The sequence below is a fragment of the Homo sapiens genome, chromosome 10 (assembly GCF_000001405.40).
Source record: "Homo sapiens chromosome 10, GRCh38.p14 Primary Assembly".
NCBI lineage: Eukaryota > Metazoa > Chordata > Mammalia > Primates > Hominidae > Homo > Homo sapiens.
Genome location: NC_000010.11, coordinates 112,056,641 through 112,075,893, shown reverse-complemented (window position 1 = coordinate 112,075,893; position 19,253 = coordinate 112,056,641). Strand labels below are relative to the sequence as shown.

The 19,253-nt window shown below is 40.4% G+C and overlaps 1 long non-coding RNA gene across 1 annotated transcript in view, besides 2 other annotated features; it reads left to right on the top strand.

Moving 5' to 3' along the window:
* Positions 396-596: a silencer, noted in NCBI's record as "peak1087 fragment used in MPRA reporter construct". NCBI's record gives its function as "represses an SCP1 promoter by STARR-seq MPRAs in K562 erythroleukemia cells {active_cell/tissue: K562}" and the evidence as "EXISTENCE:reporter gene assay evidence [ECO:0000049][PMID:32103011]".
* Positions 13,152-13,701: an enhancer, noted in NCBI's record as "NANOG-H3K27ac-H3K4me1 hESC enhancer chr10:113821951-113822500 (GRCh37/hg19 assembly coordinates)". NCBI's record gives its function as "activates a minimal SCP1, AML or CMV promoter by ChIP-STARR-seq in naive H9 embryonic stem cells {active_cell/tissue: H9 hESC(naive)}" and the evidence as "EXISTENCE:reporter gene assay evidence [ECO:0000049][PMID:30033119]".
* The window catches only part of LOC107984268 (uncharacterized), a 31,907-nt gene continuing 28,298 nt past the window's right edge, over positions 15,645-19,253 (top strand). Inside the window, exon 1 of the long non-coding RNA XR_001747587.2 lies at positions 15,645-16,157. This is a non-coding gene — a long non-coding RNA (uncharacterized LOC107984268). The remainder of the gene's footprint in view (positions 16,158-19,253) is intronic.

The following is a 19,253-nucleotide window of genomic DNA, read 5'->3' as shown; positions in this document are numbered from 1 at the left end:
CTTCTCTTATTTTCAAACAAATAAAATAATAAAGTTACTGGTATAAGCAAGCAGAAGCCAACATTTTCCCTAGCTTTTTCTACGTCCCAGTGATACCTTATCCTCAGCCAACCCTTGGGAAGTTAAAAAAAAGTTGAAAAGAATCCATTTTGATTTCTTTTTTCTCCCTGCTTTATTTACTATGAAAGCAATATGCACCAAACACCAGCCACCTACACACTCAGCCCATCTTTGAGTCAAACGCTTCATTTAGCTTCTCTAGTGTTTCCGGATTTCTCAACTGGGATTGCCCACTGGGGTGTGATCTAAGTAGCACCATCATGAGTTCCAATTCTGGGCCTGTAAGCAAAAGAACACAGCTTCTCTTAGCCCATTATTAACTGCCAGAGAACTGTTCTTCAGTGGGAATATCGGGCAGGGAGTGCCTCTTGAGAGAAGGTATCTTCAAGGGAGCAGTGCTTTATCAACCTACTTCAGCCTTGACCTTTGCTTCTGCCTCATTTTTTTCTTCTAATGGTTTCAGACCAAAAGTCGATTTATTTTTTAAGTGCATCGCTGTCTAGTGTCTTCAGAGAATCCCTGTGAAGTCTGCTAGACTTGCTAATAGCTACCAAGGCTGAATCATGTTACTTTACTAACCACCAGCCTCTGTCAATGTTGTCTGGGTTTATTTTGGAAAGTTATTGGGTTGTTTATGAGTAAATTGTAAAATGTTGTTCTTGAAAAGTTGTTCACCATACCATCTTGTGGCACTAAGGTAGACAGATGAGCACTCCTAAAGGAACATTATAAGAAAGGTAAAAATTTATGTGTGGCTTTGCCTCATTTTTCTTACTTATTCTAAAAAAATTTTATTTTCCTATATGGTATGCTGTCTTAAATTCTTTTTTTGAAGAGGGGCATAATTAAATGAGTAGGAAATTTATAGGTCTAATTTTGTGAAACATGAACCTATTGCATTGATGGGGAATTATAAGTTGATTTAAGGAAACAGTTATGGATCTAGTTCACTCTGTTAGTAGACAGGTAAATAGCGAAGATAAACAATGCAAAATGATGCATAAATATGTCTATGCTTTGTAATTGTAAGAGTTTCTGTTCTATAGAGACTTGGTGTTTATACACTAATTAAATCTATTTATTAATTGAACAAATATTTATTTCATGCCTACTATGCAGTAGACATGTTATCAGATATGGATATTTAAGGATAAATTTAAAAATGATTTTCATGAAGGAATTCAGTCTGATAGAAGAGTCAGATACAAAAATAACTAATTATCTGACAATATAATATAAAAGTGTAGAGTGCAATAGAAACGGTAATGAAAAAGTGGTATGAAACTGACAACTTTTATTTGTACCGAACTTTCCATCTTTTGTGATAAAATCTTTATTGTGGGGAAGTATGATTTTTTTCCCTCCTCATGATTCTATTGCAGGACAGGGTGGTGGGAGGGCAGTTCCTCTTCCCTCCAAACGATGGGAAAATACTGGAGGAGATGTTTTCTCCATTTCTTACTAGTTTTCCTGGAGGGAAAGTGAGTATCCAGTTGATTGTAGATAACTTAATTTCCACTGAAGCACGTTTTCCCTCATGTGTGTAGTTACTGCATTGAAAATGGAACAAAGGCCCATCTCTGATTTTCTTGGTTCCTCATTCTGTGGAGGTCTGGGTTTTAGAGGCAGGCTGATCTGACCGTCAACATGCACTCAGGGTGTACTGGCAGAGGTGACTCTACTAAAGGCAGATACTGAGTCTAGATTTGGAGAGGAACTTCATTAAGAAGGTTCCATTTTGGCCTTCAGTCCAAGCAACATTCTGCAGCACCTCTTTACTAGGGGACCCCAGTTATCAGGTGATGATTTGCAAAGCTATCCATTGATCTCCATTTAGCTTTAGATATTGATCTCTACCAGGTAGAACCCAGACGATAGGAGAGATGAGTTATCAGCATTCCTTACATTCAACAATCTCATTTGATAATCATAACAACCTTATGAGACAGTTAGAGTGGGGATTACTTTTCTCATTTTGCATGTGAAGAAGTAAAGTTAAGTGGAATAATGGAATGCCGGAAGCACAGACATGGGTTCAAATCCTTGTTCTGCCACCTATGAGTGAGCCGACGTGGGAATAAGTTCCTTAATTTGCTGAGCCTCAGTCTCTTCTTCTGTAAAATTGAGACTGCATCATCTGTTTTATAAGTTGTTGTGAGAACTAGACATTGTATGTAGACAGCACTAGGCACAATGTCTAATGCATACCAGTGAATCTTTGACCTGAGTTGGAGTGGAGCTGTAAAGCCAAAGCAGAGAATTAAAGGATCTGGGACAGTTGAGACCAAGAAGTAACTGAATGAGCCAGTGGGAGGTCATCTGGAGGAGTTCCACAATAGAGTGCAGATATGTAGGATGGCCTCATGGGGGTACCAGCATTACTTAATGTGGGAGTCTTGCTTTCATTTATAGAAGCTAAAACAAGGTAGATGTTACAAGTCCTAGACCAATGGCCCCCAGCGACCGGTTTCACGGAAGATCATTTTTCTGTGGACCAGGGCAGGGAAGGGGTATGGTTTCAGGATGATTCAAGTGCATTACATTTACTATGCACTTTATTTCTATTATTATTATATTGTAATATATAGTAAAATGATGAAATAATTATATAACTCATCATAATGTAGAATCAGTGGGAGCCCTGAGCTTATTTTCCTGCAACTAGACGGTCCCATCTGGGGCTGATGGGAGACAATGACAGATCATCAGGCATTAGAGTCTCATAAGGAGCACACAACCTATATTCCTCACATGTGCAGTTCACAATAGGGTTCATGCTCCTATGAGAATCTAATGCTGTTGCTGATCTGACAGGAGGTGGAGCTCAGGTGGTAATGCGAGTGATGGGGAGTGGCTGTAAATACAGATGAAGCTTCGCTCACTCACCTGCCACTAGCCTTCTGCTGTGTAGACTGGTTCCTAGCTCAGTCTGTGGCCCAGGGTGTTGGGGCCCCTGTCTTAGACTATGTTAAGCTCACTGAGCAGAAGCTTATTTCTCAGAAGATATTCTAGTTTTTTTTTTTTGGAGGGAGGTAATTTTTTAAATTTGCTGAGCCTCAGTTTCCCCCGAGTTGGGTGGGTAACCTGTGGTACAGATACAGTGTGCTCCAGGATTGGAGGGACCAGACTGTTTTTTCTCCAGCTCTTTGGGAGGCCAAGGCAAGAGACTTTGCTGAGGCTAGGAGTTCAAGACCAGTCTGGGCAACATAACGAGATCCCATTTCTACAAATTTTTTTTTAAATAAAATATTTTGTTGTATAAACTGAAACACTGTGCACTTGGAGAGACATGATCAATCTTATGGATTGCTGTGAATTATAGCATGATGTATTCAGCTGTAACTTTTGTATCTCTTAGGAAGATGGTGAAGATAACTGGATTGCCCCTGCAATTTTCTCATTGGCCATATAAAGTCATGCTTTGTATTTGGGATTTTCCAGGTTGTTAGTGGTAACAATATTTCTTGAAAGCATGCCATTTAGAATTATTTCTTCCTTCCTAGGGACATTGGTGGGTGCATGTGGGAGGAAAAATGGCAAAATAAAGGACAAGCTCTGATGCATACACAGTCCCTCTACAAATGCATCTGAGCCGTAACTGAGCAGTCATGATACTCTCCATTAATTTAATGAAATTAATTTTTTTCATATGCCACTTTCAATGCTACAAAGTACTTTACAGTGAGAGGCAAAGGAGATAATGAGATAATGTTTTATGGAACCATGCAGCAGCAAGTTTCCTATCATTAGCAAGACAGAGAATATATTAAAAACGGTGTGGTTAAAAGAAAACTCTGAAATAGCAACCAGAGAAGAAAGTGCAAAAGCAGGATGTGGCTCTCAAAGCTCTTTATCCTGTACCTTAAAGATGACTCATTTTATTACTGGGATTCAGAGTGAGCCTAGGGCAAGTGAGTCTAGGAGCTGAGCATTTGCCCTTTCTAGAGCATTAGTGCAAAGCAAATATGTTCATCGCTTCTGGTTGCTCATTCATAAGGTAGTTTGGCATGGTGGAAAGATTGTAATATTTGGAGTCAACCAAATCTGGATTCCAATCCAGTTCTGCCATTCACTGGCTAATGTGTGACTCAGTTTCTTCATCTATGAAATGAGTGTAAAAACTTGTCTCAACAAATGCTACATTCCCCTTCACTTTTGTTAGTAACAAAGAGTTTTAGGTTAGTCTATCACATCATTTGGCTCTTTCTTGCTGCAGCTGTGTGTGTGTGTGCATGTGTGCATGTGTTGGGGAAGGTTGTCAGAGTGGGGAGGGTTCACCAGATGGTACAGGTTGCCTATTCAACACCCATGGCTCTTTTTTGCCATGCTGGCAGAGCTCCAGTTTTGTCCCACCCACTCCTAAATTAGACAACTTCGAATTGGTCTAAGCCTATAATGGTCCCGTTTTCTTGACAATTATTCATTTAAGGGTGGACATCGGGACTCAGTTTTGGTTATCGTGACATAAGGGGAATTCTGCCAGGAGACTTTTGGGGAAGTTTCTTTGCTATTTAAAAGAGATACATGCAAAAGGAGCAGCATTTTTTTTTTTCGAGACGGAGCGTTTTTTGTGTGCTGGATGTTATATCCACAAAGGATACATGACACTGCACCAGCCATCTTGGGACCAGGAGTGAAATTATCTCCAAAAGAAACATGCTATAGAACGAGACCAGGGATCTTGATGCTGGTCTTATCTGCTAAACTAGCCAACTCTGTAGTGGCCTCCCACTAGACATCTGTTATGGGAGCTAACACATCCATTTATTGTTTGAGCAATGGTTATCTGGGCTCTCTTTTATTTGTAGCTTAAGGCATCCTAACTGATAGAAGAGCCTGTCAGTTGGGAATCTAGAATTTGACCCCAAGTTCAATTACTCTTTAAGTTTAGAGGAAGTTTCTTGTGTTTCTTTCACTGGTGCAACTTTATTTTAAGTGAAATTAAAAAATAGTTTCCCATGTTCACCTGTCCTAAGTCAGCCTCCAGGGAAACATTTGGAAACCAGCACCTTTCCTGTTCCTGTATATAGACAGATACCAGACTGGGTCTAGTGGACTCATGAGCTGTTCAGCCTGGACAAGAGAAGGGGAAGCTACGAATAATTTATGGAGCCCCCATTTTATGTCAAAAGCACTTCACATATATTTTGATTCCCACAATAAGAGTTTAAAAGGACATAGAATTGTGTTATCTTCATTAAAAGATAGAAAAATTGAGACTAAGAAAGGTTAAACTGTTTGCCAAGATGTCTGCTATTTAGTGGTAGAGTCAGTGTAAAAGTACCAGAATCCAGGCACGATTTCCTAGATGAAGAGATGAAACTCCAACAAAGTTAGGGGATATAAATAAGCAAATTAATTGCTGAGGCTGGTCTAGAACCTAGATTTCTTGATGCCTTATCCTGAATTTCTTAAATTGCCTATCCTAACCAAGATTCTCTGATGCTAGCAATAAGTAGATTGGTGGAGATTTGCCTATTGAATTCATTCCTTCATTCACTATGTATTTATCATGCATCTACTGTATCCCCAGCACTGTGCTAGGCATTGAGTATACAGTGGTGAACAGAAGGATTTGGTCCCTGCTGCTCCCTTGGTTGGGGCTCCACCTCTGGGTGGGTCATGGATGGGACTGAGACAGCAGATGGGGTGGCCAGGAAAGGCCAAGGGCCTGCTTTGTAGAGGATGCAGAGAAGAGCAGGACTTGGCAGAAAAACCCAGTCTCTGGGGTGTAGGGACTGAAAGAAATCTACCTGTGGGTGAAGATGAGGCCTCAGGACCTCGGGACATGCTGTCTGTGTTGAGAGCCAGCGCCCTGTGTTTCAGGGTAGAGCGTGCGCCCAGGGCCGAGCTTTTCAAAAGTCTGGCTCCAGGGGGTAGTCTTCTGGTGGGTCTGTTTTATCCAGACCCTTCCAGAAAGCATTTAGATATGGCCCTCTTTGTTGATACAGTCCTGTATCTCCATTAGTGGGAAGTTTCTGGAAGACGCAGCTGCTTTTCTTCTTTCTTTTTTGTAAATGTCCTTTGGCAATGTTCTGCAAGCCTAGACACCTCCCAAAGGAAGCCCACGGGAAAACTGAGAAAGAAGCAGTGGTGTGCTGGTGAAAGTTTAACAACCAGCTCTGTCGGGGGTTGGGGGCGGCGGGGAGGGGAACTCTGGATTTGTTGCATTTTCTACTTTCTGTAGTGTGGATACTCCCACCATGGCTGATTTCAAGCCACCAATGGAATATCAGCCAATTTCCAAAAATTCCAGAAATTGAACAATAGGCTCCTGGGAGCCAGTGTGAGGTGGCTGCAGCACATCTTGGCTCTAGTACACTCCCAGAGAGAGGCATACGGGACCACCCATGCAGTTGTTAGCCCCCTAGCATATCTGGAAGGGACAATGTGAGTACCACAGGTGATTTCTGGAGGTGAGGCTTGTATCAGTATGGGCACTTTGCCCTGACTCTCGCATTCCTTTCCTCTACCTTTGAAATATCGGCTGATTTCTGGCCATCCCTCCTTTTCCAACTCTCCTCCTTTGAAGTTTGTTCTTTTATCTCTGAATATATATATACACACACACACACATATATTTTTTAAGAAATACCTGGAACAAAAATCTTGCTTTCTGTTTAAACAAGATATATTTTTCAGGCTTGTTATTGATTTTTCTGTTATTCCCATACCGCATCATGTTAGAAAGAAGAGGTTTGTTTCATTTTTTTTTTTTCCGTAAGAGAAAATAAACATCCTGTGGGCTTTTCCTCGTATCACAAACTGGTACCTTCTGAAGCGCATTTGGAAGTGAAATGTCAGGTAGCAGGGTCTTGGGGCTGCCTGAAGAGAGTCTCCTATTTCCAACAGACTCTAATTTTCAAAGCTGCTCCTTTCCTTAATATGATTTAGAATTTTATTTGTTCAGCCTGTAAAGTAGAGCTGAGAATATCACAGACTCAAGATATGAATCCTATTAATGAAACAGCATTTAGAAATGTGAGCATTGCTGTCTTGGCTATTACATCGTCTGTAGATTAATCATAATGTTTTGAGGACCCTGTCCGATTAGAAGCTTATTTTAAACAGCAAATTTCATGTGACTAAAGAGTGCAATTATTGGTTGCTATCTTCAGTGGACAGTTATGGGGCAGATTTAAAAAAATGAACATTTCTTAAAAGTGATTAAATGGGTGGGAACCCCGTTCTGGAAACAGAAGGAGGCAAGGGAAAAATAATGAAATGAAATAAAAAGGGATTTGAAAATTAAAAAGCAAGTTAATTTGTCATTGTTGTGCAGAAAAGCCTCCAAGGTGGGAAATGATTACCTGGGCTGAACTACTGAGGCCTTAAGGCTATGCCTTGCAGATTAGTGTCTGTTATTTTTGTCCTGTCTTTTATTTATTTATTTATTTATTTATTTTTATTTTTTAAATTTATTTTTTTATTATACTTTAAGTTTTAGGGTACATGTGCACATTGTGCAGGTTAGTTACATATGTATACATGTGCCATGCTGGTGCGCTGCACCCAATAAATTGTCATCTAACATTAGGTATATCTCCCAATGCTATCCCTCCCCCCTCCCCCCACCCCACAGCAGTCCCCAGAGTGTGATATTCCCCTTCCTGTGTCCATGAGATCTCATTGTTCAATTCCCACCTATGAGTGAGAATATGCGGTGTTTGGTTTTTTGTTCTTGCGATAGTTTACTGGGAATGATGATTTCCAATTTCATCCATGTCCCTACAAAGGACATGAACTCATCATTTTTTATGGCTGCATAGTATTCCATGGTGTATATGTGCCACATTTTCTTAATCCAGTCTATCATTGTTGGACATTTGGCTTGGTTCCAAGTCTTTGCTATTGTGAATAATGCCGCAATAAACATACATGTGCATGTGTCTTTATAGCAGCATGATTTATAGTCCTTTGGGTATATACCCAGTAATGGGATGGCTGGGTCAAATGGTATTTCCAGTTCTAGATCCCTGAGGAATCGCCACACTGACTTCCACAATGGTTGAACTAGTTTACAGTCCCACCAACAGTGTAAAATTGTTCCTATTTTTCCACGTCCTCTCCAGCACCTGTTGTTTCCTGACTTTATAATGATTGCCATTCTAACTGGTGTGAGATGGTATCTCATTGTGGTTTTGATTTGCATTTCTCTGATGGCCAGTGATGATGAGCATTTTTTCATGTGTTTTTTGGCTGCATAAATGTCTGCTTTTGAGAAGTGTCTGTTCATGTCCTTTGCCCACTTTTTGATGGGGTTGTTTGTTTTTTTCTTGTAAATTTGTTTGAGTTCATTGTAGATTCTGGATATTAGCCCTTTGTCAGATGAGTAGGTTGCGAAAATTTTCTCCCATTTTGTAGGTTGCCTGTTCACTCTGATGGTAGTTTCTTTTGCTGTGCAGAAGCTCTTTAGTTTAATTAGATCCCATTTGTCAATTTTGGCTTTTGTTGCCATTGCTTTTTGTGTTTTAGACATGAAGTCCTTGCCCATGCCTATGTCCTGAATGGTAATGCCTAGGTTTTCTTCTAGGGTTTTTATGGTTTTAGGTCTAACGTTTAAGTCTTTAATCCATCTTGAATTGATTTTTGTATAAGGTGTAAGGAAGGGATCCAGTTTCAGCTTTCTACATATGGCTAGCCAGTTTTCCCAGCACCATTTATTAAATAGGGAATCCTTTCCCCATTGCTTGTTTTTCTCAGGTTTGTCAAAGATCAGATAGTTGTAGATATGCGGCGTTATTTCTGAGGGCTCTGTTCTGTTCCATTGATCTATATCTCTGTTTTGGTACCAGTACCATGCTGTTTTGGTTACTGTAGCCTTGTAGTATAGTTTGAAGTCAGGTAGTGTGATGCCTCCAGCTTTGTTCTTTTGGCTTAGGATTGACTTGGCGATGCGGGCTCTTTTTTGGTTCCATATGAACTTTAAAGTAGTTTTTTCCAATTCTGTGAAGAAAGTCATTGGTAGCTTGATGGGGATGGCATTGAATCTGTAAATTACCTTGGGCAGTATGGCCATTTTCACGATATTGATTCTTCCTACCCATGAGCATGGAATGTTCTTCCATTTGTTTGTATCCTCTTTTATTTCCTTGAGCAGTGGTTTGTAGTTCTCCTTGAAGAGGTCCTTCACATCCCTTGTAAGTTGGATTCCTAGGTATTTTATTCTCTTTGAAGCAATTGTGAATGGGAGTTCACTCATGATTTGGCTCTCTGTTTGTCTGTTGTTGGTGTGTAAGAATGCTTGTGATTTTTGTACATTGATTTTGTATCCTGAGACTTTGCTGAAGTTGCTTATCAGCTTAAGGAGATTTTGGGCTGAGACAATGGGGTTTTCTAGATATACAATCATGTCGTCTGCAAACAGGGACAATTTGACTTCCTCTTTTCCTAATTGAATACCCTGTATTTCCTTCTCCTGCCTAATTGCCCTGGCCAGAACTTCCAACACTATGTTGAATAGGAGTGGTGAGAGAGGGCATCCCTGTCTTGTGCCAGTTTTCAAAGGGAATGCTTCCAGTTTTTGCCCATTTGGTATGATATTGGCTGTGGGTTTGTCATAGATAGCTCTTATTATTTTGAAATACATCCCATCAATGCCTAATTTATTGAGAGTTTTTAGCATGAGGGTTGTTGAATTTTGTCAAAGGCTTTTTCTGCATCTATTGAGATAATCATGTGGTTTTTGTCTTTGGCTCTGTTTATATGCTGGATTACATTTATTGATTTGCGTATATTGAACCAGCCTTGCATCCTAGGGATGAAGCCCACTTGATCATGGTGGATAAGCTTTTTGATGTGCTGCTGGATTCAGTTTGCCAGTATTTTATTGAGGATTTTTGCATCAATGTTCATCAAGGATATTGGTCTAAAATTCTCTTTTTTTGTTGTATCTCTAACTGGCTTTGGTATCAGAATGATGCTGGCCTCATAAAAAGAGTTAGGGAGGATTCCCTCTTTTTCTATTGATTGGAATAGTTTCAGAAGGAATGGTACCAGTTCCTCCTTGTACCTCTGGTAGAATTCAGCTGTGAATCCATCTGGTCCTGGACTCTTTTTGGTTGGTAAGCTATTGATTATTGCCAAAATTTCAGCTACTGTTATTGGTCTGTTCAGAGATTCAACTTCTTCCTGGTTTAGTCTTGGGAGAGTGTATGTGTCCAGGAATTTATCTATTTCTTCTAGATTTTCTAGTTTATTTGCGTAGAGGTGTTTGTAGTATTCTCTGATGGAAGTTTGTATTTCTGTGGGATTGGTAGTTATATCCCCTTTATCATTTTTTATTGTGTCTATTTGATTTTTCTCTCTTTTTTTCTTTATTAGTCTTGCTAGCGGACTATCAATTTTGTTGATCCTTTCAAAAAACCAGCTCCTGGATTCATTAATTTTTTGAAAGGTTTTTTGTTTCTCTATTTCCTTCAGTTCTGCTCTGATTTTAGTTATTTCTTGCCTTCTGCTAGCTTTTGAATGTGTTTGCTCTTCCTTTTCTAGTTCTTTTAATTGTGATGTTAGGGTGTCAATTTTGGATCTTTCCTGCTTTCTCGTGTGGGCATTTAGTGCTATAAATTTCCCTCTACACACTGCTTTGAATGTGTCCCAGAGATTCTGGTATGTTGTGTCTTTGTTCTCATTGGTTTCAAAGAACATCTTTATTTCTGCCTTCATTTCGTTATGTACCCAGTAGTCATTCAGGAGCAGGTTGTTCAGTTTCCATGTAGTCGAGTGGTTTTGAGTGAGATTCTTAATCCTGAGTTCTAGTTTGATTGCACTGTGGTCTGAGAGATAGTTTGTTATAATTTCTGTTCTTTTACATTTGCTGAGGAGAGCTTTACTTCCCAGTATGTGGTCAATTTTGGAATATGTGTGGTGTGGTGCTGAAAAAAATGTATATTCTGTTGATTTGGGGTGGAGAGTTCTGTAGATGTCTATTAGGTCTGCTTGGTGCAGAGCTGAGTTAAATTCCTGGGTATCCTTGTTGACTTTCTGTCTCATTGATCTGTCTAATGTTGACAGTGGGGTGTTAAAGTCTCCCATTATTAATGTGTGGGAGTCTAAGTCTCTTTGTAGGTCACTAAGGACTTGCTTTATGAATCTTGGTGCTCCTGTATTGGGTGCATACATATTTAGGATAGTTAGCTCTTCTTGTTGAATTGATCCCTTTACCATTAAGTAATGGCCTTCTTTGTCTCTTTTGATCTTTGTTGGTTTAAAGTCTGTTTTATCAGAGACTAGGATTGCAACCCCTGCCTTTTTTGGTTTTCCATTTGCTTGGTAGATCTTCCTCCATCCTTTTATTTTGAGCCTATGTGTGTCTCTGCACATGAGATGGGTTTCCTGAATACAGCACACTGATGGGTCTTGACTCTTTATCCAATTTGCCAGTCTGTGTCTTTTAATTGGAGCATTTAGTCCATTTACATTTAAAGATAATATTGTTATATGTGAATTTGATCCTGTCATTATGATGTTAGCTGGTTATTTTGCTTGTTAGTTGATGCAGTTTCTTCCTAGTCTCGATGGTCTTTACATTTTGGCATGATTTTGCAGCGGCTGGTACCAGTTGTTCCTTTCCATGTTTAGTGCTTCCTTCAGGAGCTCTTGTAAGGCAGGCCTGGTGGTGACAAAATCTCTCAGCATTTGCTTGTCTGTAAAGTATTTTATTTCTCCTTCACTTATGAAGCTTAGTTTGGCTGGATATGCCATTCTGGGTTGAAAATTCTTTTAAGAATGTTGAATATTGGCCCCCAGTCTCTTCTGGCTTGTAGAGTTTCTGCAGAGAGATCCGTTGTTAGTCTGATGGGCTTCCCTTTGAGGGTAACCCGACCTTTCTCTCTGGCTGCCCTTAACATTTTTTCCTTCATTTCAACTTTGGTGAATCTGACAATTATGTGTCTTGGAGTTGCTCTTCTTGAGGAGTATCTTTGTGGCGTTCTCTGTATTTCCTGAATCTGAACATTGGCCTGCCTTGCTAGATTGGGGAAGTTCTCCTGGATAATATCCTGCAGAGTGTTTTCCAACTTGGTTCCATTCTCCCCATCACTTTCAGGTACACCAATCAGACGTAGATTTGGTCTTTTCACATAGTCCCATATTTCTTGGAGGCTTTGCTCATTTCTTTTTATTCTTTTTTCTCTAAACTTCCCTTCTCGCTTCATTTCATTCATTTCATCTTCCATCGCTGATACCCTTTCTTCCAGTTGATCGCATCAGCTCCTGAGGCTTCTGCATTCTTCACGTAGTTCTCGAGCCTTGGTTTTCAGCTCCATCAGCTCCTTTAAGCACTTCTCTGTGTTGGTTATTCTAGTTATACATTCTTCTAAATTTTTTTCAAAGTTTTCAACTTCTTTGCCTTTGGTTTGAATGTCCTCCCGTAGCTCAGAGTAATTTGATCGTCTGAAGTCTTCTTCTCTCAGCTCGTCAAAGTCATTCTCCATCCAGCTTTGTTCCGTTGCTGGTGAGGAACTGCGTTCCTTTGGAGGAGGAGAGGTGCTCTGCTTTTTAGAGTTTCCAGTTTTTCTTTTCTGTTTTTTCCCCGTCTTTGTGGTTTTATCTACTTTTGGTCTTTGATGATGGTGATGTGCAGATGGGTTCTTGGTGTGGATGTCCTTTCTGTTTGTTAGTTTTCCTTCTAACAGAGAGGACCCTCAGCTGCAGGTCTGTTGGAATACCCTGCCGTGTGAGGTGTCAGTGTGCCCCTGCTGGGGGGTGCCTCCCAGTTAGGCTTTTCTGGGATCAGGGGTCAGGGACCCACTTGAGGAGGCAGTCTGCCCGTTCTCAGATCTCCAGCTGCGTGCTGGGAGAACCACAGCTCTCTTCAAAGCTGTCAGACAGGGACATTTAAGTCTGCAGAGGTTACAGCTGTCTTTTTGTTTGTCTGTGCCCTGCCCCCAGAGGTGGAGCCTACAGAGGCAGGCAGGCCTCCTTGAGCTGTGGTGGGCTCTACCCAGTTCAAGCTTCCCGGCTGCTTTCTTTACCTAATCAAGCCTGGGCAATGGCGGGCGCCCCTCCCCCAGCCTCGCTGCCGCCTAGCAGTTTGATCTCAGACTGCTGTGCTAGCAATCAGCGAGACTCCGTGGGCGTAGGACCCTCCGAGCCAGGTGCGGGATATAATCTTGTGGTGCGCCGTTTTTTAAGCCCGTCCGAAAAGCGCAGTATTCAGGTGGGAGTGACCCGATTTTCCAGGTGCCGTCCGTCACCCCTTTCTTTGACTCAGAAAGGGAACTCCCTGACCCCTTGCGCTTCCCAAGTGAGGCAATGCCTTGCTCTGCTTCGGCTCGCGCACGGTGCGCGCACCCACTGACCTGCGCCCACTGTCTGGCACTCCCTAATGAGACGAACCCGGTACCTCAGATGGAAATGCAGAAATCACCCGTCTTCTGCGTCGCTCACGCTGAGAGCTGTAGACGGGAGCTGTTCCTATTTGGCCATCTTGGCTCCTCCCCTCCTGTCCTGTCTTAAATAGAAAAGGAGCATTCACTGGAAATCAGAAAGCCAAGGGTTAGAAGTTGCCTCATCACTTTATTGATGTAGGAAGTCTTTGCTAACAACTACACTTGACTAAAAGATGATAGCAAAGAACATCTTAGGAAAAAGGCAAGAGCAAGCTGCTTTTTAGAATGAATAGGAAAGAGGGAGAGAACGTATGAGCAAGAAGAGGCAGGTGGAGAAATACTCATTTTTGGAACAAGTCTCTAGATGCAGCAGAGGGGCTACAGCTCTGAAGTCAGACATAACTTCTTGTGAATCTTGTCCCTGTCACATCTTAACTGTGTGACTATGAGCACGTTTCCTAACCTCTTTGAGCTTCAATTTTCCCATCTGAACAATGGGATCAGTGCACCTAGGGTTGTTGAGAAAATTAAATAGAAAGTAATGGAGCATACAGCACACATTCAATAAAATGTTCCCTTCTTAGGGGCTTGACCAATTGCTCTGAGCCAAAATACAGTTACAGTTATGTTACATGTGGTGAACAGTCCCATTTTTATTGTATTTTCTGCCACAGTCTGATGGGATTCTAGAGGCCAAAGCTGGTGGTATTTAGGCAGATGAGTGAGCCTCAGAGGCCATCCCAGCCCTTCCAGATCCCTAGTGTAGAGAGACTCATAGGTACCAGAAATCCTGCCTGGGGACAGCTTTTCCGAGTAAGGATGAGGTTTAGGTTGACCACGAATCCTTGGCTGATAACTGTTCTTCTCATGAGCTAGTCTCAATCTGTAAACAGGTGGTAGTGGCGGGGAAAAGTAATACATTTTATGTTTTTGGTAGAGTTACTATTTTGGTATTTTCTCTGTAAGTGCAGTACTGACTCATTTCATAAAAAAAAAAAAATCAGCAAACACAAAGAAGCCGAAAGAAGAAAATATAAGATACTCATAATTCTTCTACCCACATTAAGATATTAGAGTGTGATTCTTAAACTTTTTATTCTTATTGAATGAGTTTATTCCCTTAAGAATGAGTTCCATATCTTATTATAAACCTACATTTCTTTCAATACACACATCATACTTTCAGCTAAATTACTTAATGTTCCCCACTCCTAGGTACTTGAGGACAATTGACTCTGTGGGTGACTCTATGGCTAATTCAGTGGCTTTCTGTGCCAGTAGATAAACTGGTGTGTCCTAGTTTGGGGTATCTTTTTCAAGGCCATTTTTTCATTTTCCGTGCATATATATGCTATAGTGCTTACAGCTGTTTGCTCTGGGTAGTTAAAAACATGGATATTCAAAATTTTAATATTTTGCTTGTATGTTTTTGCTTATGTCTTTGAAATGAACATGTATTGGTTTTACAACAACAAACTATTCCGTATATAAAACTTTACAGAAAATATATTGAAATCTGCTTGCAAATTGTGTTTGGTCTGTACTTGAAATGTAGTAAAGGCCATAAATACATATGTATACACACACATAGACACACATATTTATAGCTATATAGAGATTATATAGCTATAGATTTACTTTTATCTATGTATGTTTTAAAATCTCTATATAGTTATATATGTATATATGTATGGTTTTTATGGCAGTAAGTCATGACTATATTTTCATGTCAAATACATTTTGCCCCATAATTTTCTTGGTTGCATAGTATTTTCTTACATAACTATAACATAACTAGCCCTATATTGCTGGGTATTTGTGTTTTTCCTAATTTTTTAATATTAGAAATTATGTTCTGTTGAATATTCTCCTATGTATCCTTAATTATTTGACATGTCGTATTTTTTCTCTATATGTAGATGAATGTAGACATGTTGTATTTTATTGTTTATTCATTTATTTATTTTCAAGATGGTATCTTACTGTGTCACCCAGGCAGGTGTGCAATGGTGTGATCTTGGCTCGCTGCAACCTCTGCCTCCTAGGTTTGAATGATTCTCCTGCCTCAGCCTCCCAAGTAGCTGGGACTACAGGTGCCCACCACCATGCCTGGCTCATTTTTTGTATTTTCAGTAGAGACAGAGTTTCAGCATGTTGGCCAGGCTGGTCTCAAACTCCTCCTGGCCTCAAGTGATCTGCCGCCTCAGCCTCCCAAAGTGTTGGGATTACAGGTGTGAGCCACCACACCTGGCCTGGACATGTTGTATTTTAAAAGTCAGTAATCTTATATTAATGTTAAAATGTGGTGTTCCAAATTTCAGTGTTATGAGCACTGATTAGGTTCCCAGGCTATCATTAATTTAATACACATTGTAGCTAAGATAGGATTTTGATACTATTATATTATAGTGGATTCATCTGTGTCCTCCCCATCCCCCAAATATGTTCAAGTCCTAAACTCCTGTACTTGTGAATGTGACTCTATTTGGAAAAGGGTTTTTGCAGGCATAATCAAATCAAGATGAGGTCATACTGGATGAGGACAGGCTCTAGATTCAGTGACTCTTATCTTCATAAGAGACTTGGACACAGAGGGAAGAAGATCATGTGAGGACGGAGGCAGAGGTTGGCATTAAGCTTCCACAAGCCAAGGAATGCCTGGACCCATCAAAAGTTGGAAAAGGCAAGAAAAGATTCTCTTCTAGCACCTTCGATGGAGTGTGGCCATGCTGACACCTCAGTTTCAGAATTTTGGCCTCCAGAATGGTGAGTGAATAAGTTTCTGTTTTTCTAAGCTACCCAGTTTGTGGCATTTTGTTATGGCAGCCCCAGGAAACTAACATATATACCCGATCATCTTTCTGAACATATTTCTCCATAGAATGAATGTTGTAAAGGGAGGTTATGTTCTAGATACAGCCCACAAAAAGTATCTAGTGCCTAATATAGTTGAAACATAACGCTATCAAATTAAACGTCATTAAAGCAGTCTCTCATGGAAAGTCCAACCTATACATTGGGCAGGAGGGATTCTGCCTTCCTTGGTCTCACGCAGACAGACGTGGAGACAGTTCTCTATTCTTTCAGGAGATGGCGCTTTCGGCAGTGGGTCTTAGAAAGTTAAATGAGCATTTTTAACTCAGCCAACATTTAATGACCACCTTCTGTGCTGGTATACAGTGGTGGATCACACCAAGTCCATCCTGCATGGGATGAACAGCTCAGTGGAGGATAAGAAAAATAGGGGTTTGGGGAGGATGGTAAATGTGAACTGCATAGAATCCTGTTGGGACTGGTGAAGAGATGCTAGGTTTAGGGGGTTGGGGAAAGGGAGGGGAAGGGTGGCCGTTTCTGTTAGGTGAAGAAAATCTAGGAAGTTTTCACTGTCATTGGCATAGCTTGAGGGATTGCCTTATGTACACTTAGGGGAGAAATTTTCCCAAGGGGTCTCTTGCAAATTCCTCTGAGATTCTAGCCACTTCTGTATCATTTTTAGTGCCTGCTCACCTTACTTCTTATTCATGCCAGGCCAGGAAAACAGATTTGTGACTTAAATTTGATTACCTTACATTTGTAGGATCGGTAGGATTGTGACCTTGAATCAGTTTAATTGGCCTAATCCATTGGAGCCGAGTAATTGAATGCCAGCAAAAATGAGTCCCAAACTAATGGCAGTGACTTGCTTTCTGGTAGGAAGATTGTTTTAATGTGGTAAATTGATGTTTTAGAGTCATCGGTTAATTTCTTTTACGTCCCTCATGTTAATAGTCAGAGGAAACAATTTTATACCTAACTGAAAAAGATACAAGATGTTGATTCTATGGCAAATTACTTGGAATGAGAAAATCTGGGAGAATAGTCCAATAGCAGTGACTTTAACATTTCCATTTAACAATGAGGCAGATGTATATCTAACTAATATCTTAGAGGGTAGGATATTGAGTTCCAAGGCCAAGGTAAGGACATATGATATAGACAATTGTGAGGCAAGAGTGAGAAAGGGCTTAAACCTTTCCTGAGAGTTGTTCATAGTTGCTGTACTTACCTGAAATATTAGGCTTCTCAAACTTGGTGACTTCTGAGTCTGACTTAATTATTTTAATTATAAAGTTACTTAAATATATGAAAACATAATCGTTTGTACAAACCCTTTAATAGCTCCTGGACAACTATAAACCCCATCACATTTACACATTAAAGAATTAGTCTTAATTTGAATTTTTTTTAGTTTGTATATAATATGTTGGACAATGTTTGGCTGAAACTACATTATCACTCTCCATATGAATTTAGTTCTATTGGATTATCCATGGCATTGCTACAGTGTCCCTTTTTTCCCTTCATGTCATATCACAAGCATTTCATTCATTTATTAGTCTTCGTTCTCTTTCAATTTTTTTTTTTGAGATGGAGTCTCACTCTGTCGCCCAGGCTGGAGTGCAGTGGCACAATCTCGGCTCACTGCAGGCTCCGCCTCCTGGGTTCACACCATTCTCCTGCCTCAGCCTCCCGAGTAGCTGGGATTACAGGCACCTGCCACCATGCTTGGCTAATTTTTCGTATTTTTAGTAGAGACAGGGTTTCACTGCATTAGCCAGGACGGTCTTGATCTCCTGACCTCGTGATCCACCCGCCTCGGCCTCCCATAGTGCTGGGATTACAGGCATGAGCCACTGCACCCAGCCTGTTCTCTTTCAATTTTTAAGTTAATATTTGAATCATATTTTGCAGAGGCTATATGCATTTTGTTACAGTCATGCATCACTTATCAATGAGGATACCTTCTGAGAAATGCATGGTTAGGTGATTTCATCATTATGGGAACACCATGGAGTGTACTTACATAAACCTAGTTGGGGTAGCCTACTACACACGTGGGCTATATGGTCTAATTGCTCCTAGGCTACACAACATACAATGTTACTATACTGAATACTGTAGGCAATTGTAACACAATAGTAAGCATTTGGGTATCTAACATATCTAAACATCAAAAGGGTACAGTAAAAATACAGTGTAAAAGGTAAAAAAGGAAAAACCAACACAAATAGTACACCTATTTGGCACTTATCTTGAAAGGAGCTTGCAGGATTGGAAGTTGCTCTGGGTGAATCAATGAGTGAGTGGTGAGTGTGAAGGCCTAGGACATTACTGTACACTTCTGTGGACTTGATAAACACTGTACACTTAGGTTACACTAAATTCATTAACAAATTTTGCTATGACATCATGAGATCTCTGATGTCATTAGGTGTAGGAATATTTCAGCTCCATTGTAATCTTATGGGACCACGAATGTATATGTAATCTGTCGTTGACTGAAATGTCCTTATGTGGCACATGATTGTATTTGTATTTTGTATTGCTTTCATGTAACTGAGAAGTAATTTTCAATCTCAAAATCAAATCCTGCAAATTCCATAAAGATGTGTGTAAAATGTCTCATCAAAAGTTTGTGACATTTCAGGTTCTTGATGAAAGGTTTTGTTGTGGTGGTAATGTATGAAATCAAGCCTTCTAGAGGCTTCCACGTCTTCACAGATGCTAGTGACTTTACCTAGATGCAGCTTGGTTTAGAGGACTGCTCCTTTCCTGGCATAGCATGATAGTACAAGCAGGACACAAGACAGGCAAGGCTGGAAGGTGGAAGCATAATTGAGCTAGAAAGGAAGGATACAACATGCAATTAGTGTGCTTCTGGCCTCAAAGATGTGACTCATGTGTGACTGTGACCGTGACTCTGTCATTGCAACTGACTGTCCAGTGTGATGTAACTATAAGGGACAGAGAGGTTTCTAAGTCAAATATGAGATGGCCTGGGTCTAAATCCTAGCTCTGCTGCTCACAGCTGAGTGACCTTGG